Source organism: Homo sapiens, chromosome 20 (assembly GCF_000001405.40).
Source record: "Homo sapiens chromosome 20, GRCh38.p14 Primary Assembly".
Taxonomy (NCBI): Eukaryota; Metazoa; Chordata; class Mammalia; order Primates; family Hominidae; genus Homo; species Homo sapiens.
The window spans coordinates 64,022,622-64,039,417 of record NC_000020.11 but is presented as its reverse complement, the minus strand read 5'-3'; the positions used below and the strand labels follow the sequence as shown (position 1 = coordinate 64,039,417).

General features: G+C 58.9%; 2 protein-coding genes across 5 annotated transcripts in view, besides 7 other annotated features; both read right to left on the bottom strand.

The window, feature by feature from the left end:
- Window positions 164–443: a silencer, noted in NCBI's record as "silent region_13201". NCBI's record gives its function as "represses an Ori minimal core promoter by ATAC-STARR-seq in GM12878 lymphoblastoid cells {active_cell/tissue: GM12878}" and the evidence as "EXISTENCE:reporter gene assay evidence [ECO:0000049][PMID:35858748]".
- Window positions 417–5,709, bottom strand: C20orf204 (chromosome 20 open reading frame 204). 2 transcript variants are annotated; one of them, NM_001348090.2, is made up of 7 exons: window positions 5,612–5,709; window positions 5,463–5,512; window positions 3,371–4,910; window positions 3,092–3,281; window positions 1,216–1,491; window positions 970–1,122; window positions 417–796 (listed from the first exon to the last, which is right to left on the bottom strand). In NM_001348090.2, exons 4-7 carry the CDS (start codon window positions 3,092–3,094, stop codon window positions 659–661), a joined length of 570 nt encoding a protein of 189 aa, NP_001335019.1. In that variant the 5' UTR covers window positions 3,095–3,281; window positions 3,371–4,910; window positions 5,463–5,512; window positions 5,612–5,709; the 3' UTR covers window positions 417–658. The 2 variants fall into 2 exon arrangements, with proteins under 2 accessions (NP_001335019.1, NP_001373939.1); NM_001387010.1 differs by lacking the exons at window positions 3,371–4,910; window positions 5,463–5,512; window positions 5,612–5,709 and having other exon boundaries at window positions 3,092–3,236.
- Window positions 634–953: a silencer, noted in NCBI's record as "silent region_13200". NCBI's record gives its function as "represses an Ori minimal core promoter by ATAC-STARR-seq in GM12878 lymphoblastoid cells {active_cell/tissue: GM12878}" and the evidence as "EXISTENCE:reporter gene assay evidence [ECO:0000049][PMID:35858748]".
- Window positions 1,054–1,123: a silencer, noted in NCBI's record as "silent region_13199". NCBI's record gives its function as "represses an Ori minimal core promoter by ATAC-STARR-seq in GM12878 lymphoblastoid cells {active_cell/tissue: GM12878}" and the evidence as "EXISTENCE:reporter gene assay evidence [ECO:0000049][PMID:35858748]".
- Window positions 1,769–2,362: an enhancer, noted in NCBI's record as "H3K27ac-H3K4me1 hESC enhancer chr20:62668409-62669002 (GRCh37/hg19 assembly coordinates)". NCBI's record gives its function as "activates a minimal SCP1, AML or CMV promoter by ChIP-STARR-seq in naive H9 embryonic stem cells {active_cell/tissue: H9 hESC(naive)}" and the evidence as "EXISTENCE:reporter gene assay evidence [ECO:0000049][PMID:30033119]".
- Window positions 2,363–2,956: an enhancer, noted in NCBI's record as "H3K27ac-H3K4me1 hESC enhancer chr20:62667815-62668408 (GRCh37/hg19 assembly coordinates)". NCBI's record gives its function as "activates a minimal SCP1, AML or CMV promoter by ChIP-STARR-seq in naive H9 embryonic stem cells {active_cell/tissue: H9 hESC(naive)}" and the evidence as "EXISTENCE:reporter gene assay evidence [ECO:0000049][PMID:30033119]".
- Window positions 2,794–2,893: an enhancer, noted in NCBI's record as "active region_18261". NCBI's record gives its function as "activates an Ori minimal core promoter by ATAC-STARR-seq in GM12878 lymphoblastoid cells {active_cell/tissue: GM12878}" and the evidence as "EXISTENCE:reporter gene assay evidence [ECO:0000049][PMID:35858748]".
- Window positions 3,844–4,073: an enhancer, noted in NCBI's record as "active region_18260". NCBI's record gives its function as "activates an Ori minimal core promoter by ATAC-STARR-seq in GM12878 lymphoblastoid cells {active_cell/tissue: GM12878}" and the evidence as "EXISTENCE:reporter gene assay evidence [ECO:0000049][PMID:35858748]".
- The window catches only part of PRPF6 (pre-mRNA processing factor 6), a 51,969-nt gene continuing 41,490 nt past the window's right edge, over window positions 6,318–16,796 (bottom strand). For 2 of the 3 annotated variants that reach the window (NM_012469.4, XM_006723769.4), the window contains 9 exons: window positions 16,540–16,661; window positions 14,725–14,863; window positions 13,360–13,479; window positions 12,260–12,436; window positions 11,682–11,815; window positions 10,849–10,940; window positions 9,927–10,041; window positions 7,374–7,500; window positions 6,318–6,577 (listed from right to left, as the gene is read on the bottom strand). In NM_012469.4, coding sequence (NP_036601.2) covers window positions 6,425–6,577; window positions 7,374–7,500; window positions 9,927–10,041; window positions 10,849–10,940; window positions 11,682–11,815; window positions 12,260–12,436; window positions 13,360–13,479; window positions 14,725–14,863; window positions 16,540–16,661 — 1,179 coding nt within the window. In that variant the 3' untranslated portion in view covers window positions 6,318–6,424. Of the gene's footprint in view, window positions 6,578–7,373; window positions 7,501–8,609; window positions 9,627–9,732; window positions 10,042–10,848; window positions 10,941–11,681; window positions 11,816–12,259; window positions 12,437–13,359; window positions 13,480–14,724; window positions 14,864–16,539; window positions 16,662–16,796 lie in introns of those variants that run through there. The other variant, XR_007067448.1, reaches the window with a different exon arrangement.

Here is a 16,796-nt window from a genome sequence, read left to right as displayed (position 1 = left end):
GGCAGCAGGAAATAGCCTGGCCAAGCTCACAGCCAAGGCCCGCAGCTCCCGCTTCCCTTCGGGCCCGTTTCCTTTATCCGGTTGTTTTGCTCCGAATTCACCAAGTCCAGCCTTCCCCTCCCCTCAATTTCCACCCCCGGCCCCGGTCCAAAGTGGAGCAGGACGGATACGTGACGTTTTAGGGGCCCCAGGAGTCCCCCGCTCTGCCCTCCGCCCAGCCGGGAGCCGCTGACAGAGCCGGAGCGCGCCCAGCGTCCCGCGTCCGCCCTCTGCTGCCCGAGGCTGGGAGCGGCGGCTCCGCCCCGTCCAGGTGCCACAGGAAGTGCGGGTCTCCGCATTCCCCCTCCACCGCCCCCCGCCACCGAGGCGCAGATCCCGGGGCGGTCCTAGGCCCACAGAGAGGCAGGCGAAGGGAGTGCCGGACCCGCAGCGCCAGCTCCGTTTATTGAGGCCTTCGGCGCGTGGAGGGCGGGCCTCCTCCGTGACCCAGCGGCGGCCAGGCGCGCTCCCTTCTCCAAGTCCTGGGCCCTCCGGGGAGCGCGGGCTGCGTCGAGCGAGGGGCCGAGGTCACCAACAAGTCTACAGAACGAGGCGCGTCTCCAGGCTCTGCCGCGGCCCCGCTGGTTCTCCTCCCCGCGCAGGGCCAGGACGGGCCGCGCTAGGAGTCCCTGGAGGCCGGGGCGCGCAGCGCGAAGAGCTTCTCCCAGCAGGTGGCGACGGCGTCCAGGGCGCGCAGCAGGAGCTGCCTTCGGCCGCCGCGACGCCGGGCAGGGCGCATCTTGGGCCGCCGGCTCCGCTGTCGGGGACAGGGCGGTCAGCGAATGCGCACGGCCCCCGCGCCCGGCCCGGCCCGGGAAGGGAGACGCGACCCAGCCCGACTTCAGCCTAGGGCCGTGGAGCCCCGGGACGCGCGGCGGCCCTGTGGGGGTTAAGGGAGGTCTGGCTCTGGGTGCACTCAGGGACGCACACCTGGCGCAGCGTCCTGCAGTGGCGCCGCATCACCGCCTCGGTGCGCACAGCCACGGTCCAAGCAGCTCTCTCCAGGGCCCCGCGGCGGCCCCCGGCCACCGCCCCGCGCAGGGTCCGACCCAGGGACGAGATGGACAGGAGGATACTGTGCTCCTGGGGAGGGAAGGGAGGAAGGCGGGGTGGGGGTGGGGGGAAACTGAGAGAGGAGCAGGCCGGCGAGCTTGGGTAGGGGCGCCTCCTCCATACCTTCTGGGCGCCACAGGAGGCCCGAGGCCGTCCCCGCCGTCCCGAGCTCCCGGGTCTAGTCAGGTTTTTCTGTATGAAATGAAAGTGTCTGGAGCCTGGCCTGGTCTTTTCGGCCCCCGCCCCGCCCCACTTCACGGCGGCCTGCAGATCCTCGAAGATGATGGCGCGATAGTGGCGGAGCACGTCGGGGACGCTGCAGGCCGGGGAATAGGCGCGGCTTGGCGCGGTCCCCAGCAGCGCCAGCAGGAGCGCCCAGAGTGCAGGCTTAGGGGGTACCTGGAGGAGACAGCAGGTTGGGGTTAGGCCTGGGGGGTGTTCCCAGCACAGGGAGCAGCCAGCCCACCTGCACTTTGTTTCCGTAGAAGCCCCACCCCCTGCCCCACCCCACGGGATCTCTGAGCGAATGAAATGGACGTGTCACCAATCAAGAAAGGCTGTAGGCACAGGCCTGGCGGGATAAATCAGGAGACACAAGAGATAGGTCTGCAAACCAGACAGTTCTATGCTCCCTGCAAAGATGTGAAAGGGGTGAGTGATGTCGGCTGGGAGGCGATGTCACTGAGTCCTGAAGAACCCATCAGGAGATAGAGGGGGCAGGCCCAGAGTCAGGAGAGCCTGGCTCTGTGGTCCACGTGGGAGTGGGGCCAGCAAGGGGTGGAGCACCCTCAGGACCGCACAGAGCAGGGCCCCCCACCAGCCCCGTACAGCTCTAGTGGGGCTGGTCTGCAGGCTCTTGGGGGTACAGTAGGAAGTTGTCCCAGTACAGCCTGTCTCACTCATGGCCATGCCCATTCAACTCCACACCTCCCATACTGGCGCCCTCTGGGTTAGCTCACAGAGACGTGGGAACTGGGGACTCCTTGTACCCCCAACCCAACTGGGGCAGGGGCTCAGAGCTCCAAGCCACACCCTATTGGAAGGGGAAAGCTAGGGGGACACCCAGAAGCTATAGAGGAGGAAGGAGCCACCACATCCAGCCCCAACCAACAGTCGCAAAAGGCCCCTCTGCCTGTACCAGCCGCCCCACGCCATCCCTCCGGGCAGCCTGTGCCACAGGCCTCCCCCGACCCAAAATGGAGGGCCTGCGCCCGCAGGGATAAAGCCCAAACATCAAGGAGACAGCTGACGGCCCCCAGGTTCCCAGCCACCCAAAAGGGGCCAGCCCCAACCCTTCCCCTGGGCCCCCAGGATGGAGTCAGACAGCAGATCTAGGGCTGGAAATTAATCATGCGAACCCAACCAAGATAAGAGGACTCGACTCGGCTTCCTAGCCCTGTCAGGGGAGCCTGAACAAGCAGCACCCCAACCCTTGCATAGAGCTGGGGGCCTGGTGGGCGGTGGCAGCTCCTGCTCAGAGCACAAAGCAGCAATGGCTGGAAGAGCAGATGGCTTGCTGTGGCCCCTTCCTGAAACCTGACCCCCCCAACCACACACGCCACAGCCAACTTGGTGGGCTCAGAATTGCCACGTCATTCCCTCTGCCTGCTCTGGGTCAGAGGTCATAGCGAGAACCAGAGCCTGACTCCTGAGCAGGCCAGCTGGAGCTGCAAGGATGTCCAGCACCTGCTGTGTCCCACCCAGGTGGGGCAGACTGGCTGCCCTGGGAGTCCCAACTGGCCTGTTAGTACCACTTCCAGGCTCAAGCCTCAGCCCAGCTTAGAACAGGGTTGCCCGGCACCCAGGAGCCCCCCTCCCCCAACTGCCAGAAGCCAGGGCACATGCACCCAGTGCCACCCACAGGGACGCAGTGACCAGAGCCAACCGGAGATTTCCTGGTGGGGCTCAGGGGAACAAGCAGTGTCTCCTGAGCTGTGTGTACCCCCAGCCCCTCCACCCAAGTAAGCCCCCTCCCTAGAGGAGGCCCACAGCTGCTCACCATGGGCCTTTCAGGGTCTTGCCCTCCCTCACTCCCGCCAGCAGGCCACGCACATGATCCTGGGGTCCTTGGGCAGGGTGTGCACTGCCGCACCAGGTCCAACACCAGCCAACCGCTTCCCTGGACAGGCTGCCTGGAGGACTGCAGAGGGGCAGGCCAGGCGGAGGCTTTTGAAGTTGGCTCCTCCAAGCTGAGGGAGGGAGCAGGAGAGGGAAGGAAAGGCCACGCAATCCCAGCCCTGCCCCCTCCCTCTCTCCACTCCCTATCACTTCAATTAACCTGGCCCTGGAGCTGGGCAGCCACCTCTCCCAGGGGATCCAGGGCTACTGTGGGTCTTGGATTAACTTGTCCGTCCCAGAGATACTGTTCTGTCAAGGAGGGGTGAGGCGCCGCGTGGGCTGGGGCAGTGCAGGGCCCAGCTGGTGGGGGAGGGGAGCCAGGTGAGACTGGGGCCGACTCTGTGGCCAGCAAGTGCTGCCTCTCCCAGGGATCTGGCTGATGGGCAGAGCTGGTGGGAGGCCCTCATCCCCTCCCCAGCTGCCGGACCTGCAGCCTGACATCCAGGGGGCCCTGCCCCAGCAGGTCCCAAGACATGGGGCTTCCCGGGCCCCCGCTGCTGGCCCGGCCTCACTCCTCCTGGGCTGAGGGGTCTCTGGCTGAAGAGGTAAGTCTGAGGCTGTTACTCTGCTGCCTGCCGTAAAGATACCCAGGAGCAGGGTGGGCTCCCCCGATCCTTGGCTGCTGTCGCTTCTGCTGTGGTCTGGGGCACTCTGGTTAGCAGCCTGACAGGCAGTGGTGAAGAGGCACCTCAGAACACGAGCAACCTCTGAGGCACAACTCATCTTTGCAGGCTGAAAAAATTTCAGTTGAAGACAAGTTAAGGTAGTTTCCCAGGGGGAAAAGTCAGTGACTCACAATAGTCAAGAACAGACCACACAGGTGACAGGAGTCCCCTAGGATTGTAACACTGCATCTTTACGTTTTTGCCTTTTCCGTGTTTGGATGTGATTAAATGCTGTGACAGGCTGTGCAGGTCTGCAGCCCAGGAGCCCCAGGCTCTGGCACCCGGGCACACAGCCTGGGGGTGCAGGAGGCCGTGCCTGCCAGCCTTGTGTAAATGCACTCTTTAATGTTTGCAAGACGACATCACCTAACGAGGTTTTTCTCAGAATGTATCCGCACTGTTAAGTGGCGCACAACTGTGGTTTGGCCAACTCAAAGCATTTGAGAAAACCCCACACAGGCAAGAAAGAGGAGACACTCACACATGGACAATGTAAGCGCTCCGGAACTTTCCAAGGGCCCTGCAGGAAGTATCCCCTGAACATGGCCTGAAACATTCTTTTCTGTGTGACCCCTCAATGCCCACCCAGCACTGGCCATTTCAGCTCTGAGGTCAGAGAAGGGCTTCCTTCCTACGCCTCGGTTTCCACATCTGTACAGGGCCAGGCTGGCTCACAAACTTCCTGGGCCTCGGTTTCCACATCTGTACAGGGCCGGGCTGGCTCACAAACTTCCTGGGCCTCGGTTTCCACACCTGTACAGGGCCGGGCTGGCTCACAAACTTCCTGGGCCTCGGTTTCCACATCTGTACAGGGCCGGGCTGACTTCACAAACTCCAAAAAGCTGCAGGACTCTCTTCATCTTCAGAATAAATGTTGAGGGCTCCCTCATGCTTCCGTCTCTCCATGAGGGATCAAAGGAAACTCCTCCACAAGTTCCAGTGAAAACACTCATGAAGCTCCTGCAGCTGCTCCTCAGGACGGGGCGAGAGGAAGGACTTCCACATTCCAACGATTTGAGCTGGACCCCAGGTTGCCTGCCCAGCAGAGACCAACCAGCAGTTCCTGACCCCATACAGGGGTGGCAGGTCCCTTGCCCGGGATTGACCATGTCCTCAAGGTCCCCAGAACCACAGGGAAGGGGGACCCACACCCACATTCTGGTCTACCAGGACCGCCCCACGTGCAGGCAGGGATCTCCCACCCCAGCCATTCTCACTCGTCAGGAGCAGGGCAGGCAGACCACAAGGCCTAGCACAGGCCCCCATGTGCAGGTGGGCAGAGCTGTGGGTCAGTGACTGACCACCACCACAGGCCCTGCCATCGGTACCACAAGACAGGCCGGGACCCTCCAGGGCTCCCCTCTCACAAGGAACATCCAGGGACAGCTGCTCTCCAGCAGCCTCCTCAGCCCACATGACAGCGCCCTCCTCCCCGCCCGCTGGCCTCAACGACTGTCCACCCACACCCTCTGGGCCAGCCATGACCTCCAGCCAGATGTCTCTAGCCCCGGCCTACACAAGAACCAGCTGGCTCCCAACTGAATGCACACACATGATCCCAGGCCTGAGGACGTCCTTTATCCTTACACAGCTAAGGCTGAAGAGAAGCCAAGTCTCTCGGGTGATCAACGTTCAACCTAGAGATGAGAACCATCACTGTTCAACCTGGAGATGAGAACCATTACAAGGGCTTTAGGGTTAAACTGCGAATGATAAATTAGCAAAGATAAACTCACGGCCGGGTGCGGTGGCTCACGCCTGTAATCCCAGCACTTTGGGAAGCTGAGGCAGATGGATCACCTGAGGTCAGGAGTTTGGCAGCGGGCGCCTGTAGTCCCAGCTACTCGGGAGGCTGAGACAGGAGAATTGCTTGAACCCAGGAGGCAGAGGTTGCAGTGAGCCGAGATCGTGCCACTGCACTCCAGCCTGGGCGACAGAGCGAGACTGTCTCAAAAATAAAAAAATGAACTCACCTCCAAAAGAAAGAACGCCTCTTACTGGTGACACTGTCACTCAGCACATGCCTGAGGGGCCCGGGAGGCTGTGTGGAGAGGCCCTGCGCAGAGCTGGGTTCTCCTGTTTGCACTCAGACCCCAGGGAGGCCCCAGCTGTCCCCTGACCAAGACCCTTGCAGGCGGCTGCCAGGCTCCTGCGAGCACCTGCGTCCTGCATGCAGCTTGGTCCCCACTGTCTCCAGCTGTCCTCACAGGGCTTTTGGCCAGAACATCTGCACCCCTACCACCTTCTCCACAGTCTTGGGGAACCCGGGCACCTCCACAGTGCCTCCTCTGTGAGACACCGGCTGTCTGCAAGAGGCTTCTGTCCAAGCAAGGGCGATCACAGCCACCCCAGGACGGCATGGGACAGGCCAGGACAGGCCAGACTGGGGCAGCAGAAGCAGGAGCCAGAGAAGGGCCCCAGAGAAAACCAGCAGGCTGCCTGTTCTGACACGAGACATAAAAACTTTTAATGAAGGAGGACACAGCTCAGAGCCCTTCCACATGCGGCCCAACCCTGCCCCACGGAGACCGGCCATGGCAACCGCTCAATCAGAAGGTGTTCTTGATGCGGCCGGCCACCAGCCTAAGGATGTCCCCGATCTTCTTCTGCCAGTTGGCGATGTCCTTGGACACGGCGCACCACAGCTCCCCATGCCGAGGCTCTGCACTCTCACAGCGCTTCCTCACCTCCTCCTGCTGCTCCTGGGGGGACCACAGGGCACGTCAGGCAGGGGTCCTCCCACGCTACTCCCCGGACCTCGCCTGCTTCTCGCCTGGCCCCTGCAGACCTGGCCCTGGCAGCACCAACCCCAACTGGCGGGCCAGAGGGCACAGGCCCTGCACCGGAAGGCAAGGCTCTTTCAGGTGTGTTCCTCAAAGGAGCCCCACCTCCTGAGGAGCATGGACCCCACCAGCCTCAGCCCACAGATGAGGAACTGAGCCAGGCTCCCCATGTCTGTGCCTCACACAAGTGCTCACGTCTGCCTTCTCCAAACAAGGAGTTAGGGTTCACGTGGGCTGGCAACACTTTCCAGGGAGGACCAGGACAGCCTGACTGCCTCCAGCACAGCTCAGACAACGCTTGGCTCTAGCGGGGCGGGTGGGAGCAGAGGGGCTGCTGCCCAGGCTGTCCTAGAAAGCCACACTCAGGCTCAGGCCCAAGAAAAAGGCCAACTCCATTCCCATTCCTAAAGTGAGCCCAGGCTCCAGCCAGCAAATAACTCGTTAAAATACTCCAGCAGACAGGCCACCCTAACGGACAGGGTGCCTCAATTCCAGGGTGTGGAGCTGTGAGGCTATAACCAGAAAACGGATGTGGAGGCAGAGACTGCCTTGTGGGGAGGTGTCGAGGATTCTGTGCCCCACACACCCGGTCCATCCTCCCGACCCCGGGCAGAGTCACGCTGGCCGTGGCCACCTCCTAGAGCCCCCAGGGCTGGCGGAACTCCCCGCCACAGTCCCAGAAGGCACTGAGCGGCGGTCTGTCGAGGGGCCTCACCTCAGTGCCATGCTGCAGCTCAAACTTGTAGAAGAAGGCCCAGGCATCCCCCAGGTCCGAGTCAATCTTCACAGTGCGGTGGAACCACTCCCTGGCCTTGGTGATCTTCCGCTGACTCCAAAACAGCCTGTTCCAGCAGAAGGACGTGAACCCAGAGTGAGTGGCTGCAGGACGGTATTCTGGGGCAGGGGAACGGCTTCAGGGCCATCAGCTTCATCCCTGACCCGCAGCCCTGGTGCTCCCCTCAAGAAGGCCTGAGGATCAGGGCCTCGGCTGATCCAGAAATAATTACCCCAGATCATTAACTTGAAGCTGCCCTTCACGGGTCTAACCAAATTGGTTTTTTTTTGTTGTTTTTTTTTTTTTTTTTTTGAGAAGGAGTCTCGCTCTGTCGCCCAGGCTGGAGTGCAGTGGCGCGATCTCGACTCACTGCAAGCTCTGCCTCCCAGGTTCAAGCGATTCTCCTGCCTCAGCCTCCTGAGTAGCTGGGATTACAGGCATGCGCCACCACACCCGGCTAATTTTTGTATTTTTAGTAGAGATGGGGTTTCACTGTGTTGGTCAGGGTGGTCTCAAACTCCTGACCTCATGATCCACCTGCCTCAGCCTCCCAGTGCTGGGATTATAGGCATGAGCCACCGCACCTGTCCCAAACTGTTTCTTAAAAAATTCACACGCAGGGAAAGATCTTCCAACTCCGTAAAATTAGGGTCAGATACAAGGAGATGAAACTAAACCTGACACAAAATTAAACTGCAACTTTGATGAGGGAAAGTTATACAGTTTCAGCTCCTCACTGAGACACCTGCTGGATCATCCTGCCCCACCCGGCCTCCAGCAGCAACCCCAGTGAACACTGAGAAGATGGGCTCCAGGCAGCACAAGGGCCTGGGCCTGCAGCCCACAGCCCTCAGGCCACTGGATTCACACCGCCGTGCCTGCCAGACACATGCACACCTGAAAAACCGGGCCCGAAGAGGTCCATGCTATGAGAGGCCAGGTAAGGGTGTGCATGGCACCCCCACCCGCTGCTGGAGAAGGGATGGCGGGCGCTGGCTGCTGAGCATGCTGGCAGGCCCGGGACTCTGCGTTGCTGCCACCCTCTCCTCAGGGTCACCTCCCCCTGGAGCCAGAGGCACCGTAGTCAAGAGACAACACGAGGAGCCTCCACTCCGGGCAGCTGTTCGGGTTCGTCTCAGTTGCCAAACGGAATAATTTCACACTCTGATAACCTGATTGTTTTTTAAGCCTTGTGGTATTCTTAATTGCCCGGTGTTAGATAAACTGTGATTTAAAGAGCACAAACCCAGATAGCAGACACACAAAACACTGGCTTGGGAATAGCAAGGAGTGACTTATTTACTTTAGCAAAGCCTTTTATAAGGTTTTATGGCTGCACTATCAGAGTGTCACCCAGAAGTCACTCTGGGAGGTGAACGCACAGGGCAGGACCAAGGTAGCACCAGGCAGACACAAGCCTCCCTGTGGGGAGCCTCTCTCATCTGTCGGGGGCCTGCGGGCAGGGGAGAGGAGGTGCCCCTACAGGCAAGCCTGTGGGGGCGGCACCCAGACCTCTGGAGACCAAGCACCACTGCCACCCAGTGCTGGGGAGAAGGGATGGAGAGAATCAAAAGCCAGCACTAGGAAGGCTGTTGTCTCTGCATGACCCATGGCGGGGCAGGTGGAGGGGAAGCCGGACACAGGAGAGCTCCTGGGGCCAGACACGCCACCTCTGCCAGGTGAGCCCACGTCCTGAGCTGCAGCCTCAGGAACCCAGGGTTCTTCCAAGAACTCCCTTCACCCCACATGGTCACTTCCCAGCCTCCTGACCCACACTCAGGCCCAGCTCCTTCCCAGACTGTCATCCTCTTTCTAGAAGGAAACAGGGACCCTGGGGGTCGGGGATGGCCCTGAGCTCCCTGCTGTGCCCCACACCTGGCGGGTCTTTGCCCACATGTGCCTAGAGTCTGCATGCTCTGCCCCATGGCTACCCGCTGCTGCCTGCAAGGTTCCAGAGTCACGTCCCCAGTGAGTCTCTGACCCAGCGGCCAGCGCACCAGTGTGAATCACACGCGTCCCCAGTGAGTCTCTGACCCGGCGGCCAGCACACCAGTGTGAATCACATGTGTCCCCAGTGAGTCTCTGACCCGGCGGCCAGCGCACCAGTGTGAATCACATGCGTCCCCAGTGAGTCTCTGACCCGGCGACCAGAGCACCAGTGTGAATCACATGCGTCCCCGGTGAGTCTCTGACCTGGCGGCCAGCGCACCAGTGTGAATCACACGCGTCCCCAGTGAGTCTGTGACCCGGCGGCCAGCGCACCAGTGTGAATCACATGCGTCCCCAGTGAGTCTCTGACCACGGCACCCTCAGGTGTGTCTGCCAGGAGAGGCGCCTGCCCCAGACCACAGCAGGAGCGACGGCAGCCGAGGATCGGGGAAGCCCACCCTGCTGCCGGGCATCTTTACAATGACCAGGAAGAGGCAGACAGACTCTGGAAAAAGAGCCCATTAGGACCCCGAGGTTCAGCAATCCTGTGGGGGCCCCACTCACTTGGCCACGGCCAGGAGCACATGGGGGTCATGCTCACACTTCTTCAGGGCATCCACGCTCTTGGTCCTCCTCTGGGGCCTTGCCTCGAGGAAGATGGCCTCAGACCACAGGATACCTATAATTCAGAAACAAAGAACAAAGATTTGCACTCCAGCCTCTGGTTCCGGAAAGGTGCCCAGCCTACAGATTCTAACCCGGGACGTCCTCAGACCACGACAGGGGCCTCCCACACACGGCTCGCAGAACTTGTGCAAGGAGAACCACAAAGGATGAGCACTCTGGCCCACCCAAAACCATGGCAGCCCTGAGGGCACAGACTGGACACCCTGCAGAGTCTCACTCTGTCATTCAGGGTGGAGTGCAATGGCGCAATCTCAGCTCACTGCAACCTCCCACTCCCGGGCTCAAGCAATTCTCCTGCCTCAGCCTCCCGAGTAGCTGGGATTACAGGCGCCCGCCACCATGCCCAGCTCATTTTTGTATTTTAGTAGAGACGGGGTTTCACCATGTTGGCCAGGCTGGTCTCAAGCAATGGACTCCTGGACTCAAGCAATCCTCCCGCCTCAGTCTCTCAAAGTGCTGAGATTACAGGCATGAGCCACCACACCTGGCCAATTTCTTTTAAATTTTAAAAGAAAAAGAAATGATAACACTTCAGAAATGAAATCAAATTCTCCCATTTTGAGGCCAAGAATTTCATTAAGTTGTCTTAACGGCCGAGTATAGCTGAAACTTTTGACTGAAATGATTCACACAAACTACACATTTTAATAAAGTCCGTCTGAAGCCTGAGCCCCCACTCCCTCAGGAAGTGCCAGCCCTGCGGAGTCTGGGAAGCCAGGAAGCACCCCCTTACCGGAGTCAAGGCACCCCCTTACCGGAGTCAGGGCACCCCCTTACCGGAGTCGGGGCACCCCCTTACCGGAGTTGGGGCACTCCTGCAGCGCCTTGGCCATGAGTGTATTTGCGATGTTCTTCAGCCCCGCACGGTACTCCAGCCGCACGGACTCCAACCTGAGGAGACAGGCCCCCGGAGGTCCCACAGCCGTCTACCAACAGCACATATTCTGGTAGCTTCTGGGAAGCCTTGTCTGAAAGGGCTCTCCACCCAGTCACAGCAGCAAAAACTCCATTCCCTCCACAGCAGAGCTCATCCACCACAGAAACAAGGCGCTGGGGCCCACATCCCTGCCAGCCCCACTGGCAACCGCCCCAAGGCAAGACCTCAGATCCTGACGCTGTCCAGATGCAGGTGAAGGCATCCAGAACAAACAAGACCAGACTGGGAGAGCCAGGGCCGCACAAGGCACCCAGAAGCTGCCTGTCTGCGGCAGTGCCTGCACAGTGCTCCAGCCCCGTCACCCTGAGCTGGACGCAGCACCTCCATGAACAGAGCCTGCACCTAGCAGGCTCCTGTCCACCTCCAGGGCTCTCCACGCCACCTCCTCTGTGGAGCTGGCTCTCCGGGGTCCATCCTTCCCTCGTCCCAGCCATCATTAACCCCTCCCTCTCCCAGGCGCCCTCCATCAGAACACAAATTAAACTGCATCAAACCATCTACAGGCCTGTCACAGTACCTAGGCCGAACTCTCCTAAGGCAGGGACCGTGATTTTTCATGGCCAGCACCTACCGCCCCCCAAGCCCCTGAGCCTGGAAGCACTGCACGAGTGACTCCACACAAGCAGCTGGGTGACGGCGGCCCACCTGATGGGGAAGCTGTGCCCAGAGGCCAGGCTGCCCCCTCCAGGACTCACCACAGCCCAGGGTTCTTTGGGTTCTTCAGACGAGACTTTTCCAAAATGGCCCGTGCTCGAGTAAGCTGCCCAATCTTCTCCTCCAGCCGAGAGAGCAAAAGCCACAGGGGTGTGGAGTGGGGACACTTCTTCAACTGCAACCAACAAGTAAGAGAGCAGCTCAGGTGGTGTCTATGAAGAACTGGGACACAGCCATGCCCAGCTTCTCATCTGCAGTGGGTGACCGAGTCCCTCAGGGCTGCCATGTCCATGGAAAAACACCCCTCACACTCTGCATTTGTGGGTGTACAGGTGTGCGGTGGTGCTGTGGACCTGTGCACACAGGTCTGTACGTACCAGCCTTTACTGCAGGTGTGCCACACTCTGCACTTCTGAGCAGTGTGTGCAGCTTCATATAAGGAAAAGCACAGAACTCAGCGAGGGGACCAGGGTTTGGGTCCTGAGTCTGCAGCTCCATCAGCTGTAACCCCCAGCCCTCCACATCTCCTCAGAGGCGAAGGGCAATGACCCTGCACCAGGGGGCTCAGTTTTGTGAATGCCGGGTCAGCTGCAGCCCCAGGGTGCAGGCAGAGACGTACCCCCTGGTTATAGGCTTCCCGCGCCTTCTCCATCATCTCCTTCTGCTCCTCGATCTGCCCCTTCATCATCCACAGCTTGGGGAAGTCCTCATAGTGCCGCAGGGCCTCCTCGCACAGATCTTGGGCTGCCCTGATGTTGTCTTGCACCCACTCCAGCTTCACAGACTTCATGAACACCTGTGGGGCAGACATGCACTGTCACGCAGGGCATCAGCTCCAGGGTACGTGCTTCATGGTACACTCATCCTCAACACTGTTACCTGCAGTACTGTGTGTACTTTTGTAAGCTTTTCATAGCCTGTTTGTGTACACAAAAGGTGGGGATAAATATATGTTTTTGTTTTGTTTTGTTTTTTTTTGAGATAGAGTCTCGCTCTGTCACCCAGGCTGGAGTGCAGTGGCACGATCTCGGCTCACTGCAAGCTCCACCTGCTGGGTTCACACCATTCTCCTGCCTCAGCCTCCCAAGTAGCTGGAACTACAGGTGCAAGCCACCACACCCAGCTAATTTTGTATTTTTAGCAGAGTTGGTCAGGCTGGTGTCGAACTCCTGATCTCACAATCTACCTGCCTTGGCCTCCCAAAGTGCTGGGATTACAGGCGTGAGCCACCACACCCGGCCGTATGAACATGTTTGTTGTTGTTGTTGTTGCTGAGACAGTTTCCCTCTTGCTGCCCAGGCTGGAGTGCAGTGGCGCGATCTCAGCTCACCGCAACCTCCACCCCCGGGGTTCAAGCGATTCTCCTGCCTCAGCCTCCCGAGCAGCTGGGATTACAGGCACGCACCACCACGCCCGGCTAATTTTGTATTTTTAGTAGAGACGGGGTTTCTCCATGTTGGTCAGGCTGGTCTCAAACTCCCACCCTCAGGTGATCTGTCCGCCTTGGCCTCCCAAAGTGCTGAGATTACAGGCGTGAGCCACCGCGCCCGGCCACCACGCCCGGCCACATGAATGTTTTAGTCACATCACAAAGATGAGTGTGCTGTGGTCTCGTTTGCCTGCCGTCATCTCACTCCCATCACCACCCAAGCCAGGCGTGGGGCCCGCATGTGCACACCATGCACCCCAGACGGCCCAGCCCTGCCTGCCACTGCGTACCCGGGCGGTGGGGGCACTGCTCCGCGCCTTGGCCAGCAGCCTCCGGGCCCGCTCGTACTCATCATTCTCGGACTCCAGCTTCACGGCTGCCAGCCAGATCTCCTCACTGTTGGGGTTGGCCTGAAGGGCAAGTACAGCAGCGTCAAGAGGGGTCAGAACACAGGGACCAGCGCCTGATCACACTTAATCAAAAGCAGGCAGGCAGGAACTGAGCCAGGCCTTGCTCTGCTACAGGATTAGTCTGGTCCAAGCCCTTCCCAGGGAGGAGATGACAGAGCCGACTCCAGTGCAAGAATCCAGACTCACCTGGAAACACACAGGCCCATGTTCACTCTGGTACAGTGAGGACAGTGAAGAGGCTGCTAAAGCACTCGAGCAATAACGGGGGCAGGTGCAGGGCCATCTTACCCAGGATCCACCCACGCCCTCTCAAAGCCCCTGAATGGGGCACTCGCATCCTATACTGGTAGACTCATCACACGCAACCTCGCTCTTTCCCCTGAGCTTGATGAAGGGAAGCCAGCTGTCCTGTCCTCATGAGCCCACATGGGCAGGAGAGAGGACTCCCAGGGTGCCACTGACATGTGGAGAAGGCGTCCACAAGCCACGGAAGCTCACACAGCCCAGAGCCCAGTGGACACGCAGGCTCTGCCCTCAAAGCCTCCCCAGCCCGGTGCCCAGGGCTGTCTGAATGCGTCCCAATCAGCACAGCCGCCCAAGAGAGCGGGTGGAAGGAAGCCACGTGACAGGCAGAGAGCGGGCAGGTGGAGGGGACGCTGCAGTTACTCACAGGAGTGATGCCATCTCAAACAGGCAGCTGAGAGCGAAAGGTTAAACCCAGGCCAGTCCCCTCTCATGGTATTTGCTCAAAGAAGGGCACACTCTATGATATTAGCCTGAGCTACAGTAACAGACTTTTATATAGCATTCTATAGCTTATTAAAAAGTATGTTATAAACTATTAGGATGTTATATGTGAAAATAAAGACAAGGTACTTAAAAAAAACACACACCCCCCTCATGACAACCAGGCACCCTCAGGCCTGGCTCAGTGAGGCGGTCTGAATACATCCATTCACATAAGGGCGCCCTCAGCCTGTGTGACCCCGTGTTCCATGTTCTGAAACATTTACCCGTGGTCACACTGAGTGGGGGGACCGAGAGGTAAGTATCTGCCAGGTGGGCTGCTTTCCTGCTCTCGGGCCCCTTCACGGCCCCTGCTCCTGTGGAGCAGCCCCTGGACTCCAGTGCACCCCAACAACAGCACGTGCCACATTGTATGTGGGAGATTTTCAGGCCCCAGTCAGCACCCAGGTCAGCTCCTGTGTGCACAGGCCCCTCACCACACAGGCAACCCTCACCCACCTGGAAGGCCAGGGCCAGGATGCTCCTTGCTGCAGGCACATCCCCTGCCAGCCACTTGGACTTGGCGCCCATGAGCCACAGCACCTCTGCTTTGGGGCAGTGGGCCACAGCCCTCTGCAGGAGTGCTTCCAGGGACTCCCTGCAAGATAAGAGGCCACGGTCACCAGAGGCAGGGCCATAAACCAGAACACACATCACACTCAGCCATGGCGTGGGCACGCCAGAAAGACAGTTACTGCTCCAAAGTTCGATGCTATAAATGATTGACCAGATTTTACAATGGGGAGAGTGTGGGGAAATCTTTCCTCTCCATAAAGGTTCTAAAATCAACTACTGAAGAGGGTTCTACAAAGGAATGCATTGTTTAAATAGCAGAGCTGGAGAGACGAACTTCACAAGAGAACCTTTTACAGCCGTGTGTCCTGGAAGCAGCAATAACCTCAGTCTGTGACAGGGGAGGCCTTTTCATCTTGAACCACAGAGCACAAGCGCACCCCGGACCCACTGATAAAGATTATGATCCCAGGTTCACTCTCCCGGCATCCAAAAGAATTATCTTATAGGAAGAAAGTGATTTCAGGTCACTATTGAGCAAAACTGCCAGCCGTGGGCATCAGGTCTGATGCTCCTGGACTCTCATGTGGCCCACCACCCTCAGTCACATCAATGACCCCTTTGGGCCTCAGTGAGTGCGACAGCAAGACAAAGTGACCACACACAATCACACTGTGTGGAGCAAGGGCCAGCAAAGCAACCGTGCTCTCCAGAGGACCAGCTCCCCCAGCACTACTGCCTCTCCTCATCCCTGCAAGCATGCACTCGGGAGAAGGCAGGGAAGTCGGAGGGCACTGCCCACTGTGCCCAGGGGTCAAGGGCAGCAGTTCATATTCAGGTCACGGGCCGAGAGACCTCAGCCTACACCTGGCACCGCCCTGTTCTTCACTCAGACTGCCCCAGGTGACCTTCTACAGAGGGGCACCATGGCAGCCATTTCAAAACGTCCCCAAAGGAGATCACTCCCAAACACAGACCAGCTGGTGGGCATGGGGAGGGGGCCAGGTCTTCAGGAGGACACATGGAAAGACACCCTGAAGAGGCTGAGATTAAATCACACCAGAAAAGCAAAGAGACAATGGCTCAACATTCTCAGCTGTAGCCCCAGTGAAACCAGCAGGGCCTGTCCTCACCTGGTACAGGGAGCATCACCCGAGGACCTGGGAGAGGACGGACAGAGGGTGCGTGGGGACACGAGCCCAATGCCCTTGAGAGCTATCCATTTAAAACAATAAACTGCAACGCCAAATTTAATCAGCATTTACAGCCAATAAAGCGGACCTGAAAGATGTTTTCAATTAAAGAGTGCAGTTAAATAAAATTGTCAAGGACCTCCTCTGAGCACAAAAACCAGTCAAAACCCAAAGCCAGCACAGCTTAAATGGAAAATATGCCTGCCTGAGCCCAGATGCTGCCCCACCCACCGCTGCAGCCAGTGCTCGGCCATGGGCCACGCGGGCTCCAGCCTCAAGTCTATACCCAGGCCACTCCTCAGGCTACAGGACACTTAGCAGGACGGGCCCCCGGGGTTCCTTGTTTCTCAGCTAGAAAATGGTATCATTGCTGTCCCAGAAGGGGCTATAAAGATGGATCCAGTTGCAAAGTCCCAAATGCCATAAAATCCTTCATCACAACCAGAGGGCCAGACCTCAAATGGGCACAAGACTGGATGAGCAGACATGAGAGGTTTAAATTCAGGGCTACACAAATGGAGCTGGAGGTTTCATTAGCACCCTTGGGCAGGCGGGTCCCACCACATACCGAGTGCCATGGTTCTTCTCGAAGTACGCGGCGCGCAGCCACACACTCTTCTTGCTGGGGAACACCTGCAGGGCGTAGGCGTAGATGGCTCGTGCACACTCCAGGGCATTGTGGGCTACACACTAGAGCAGAGAGAGACATGAGAATGGGCAGCCCAGCACTGGCCACAGAACAAGTGGCATGATGCCCTCCCCAGGCTCATACGATTCTGAAAGATGATATCTGCTAGAAGGTGTACCACAGTGTTTTATCTAATT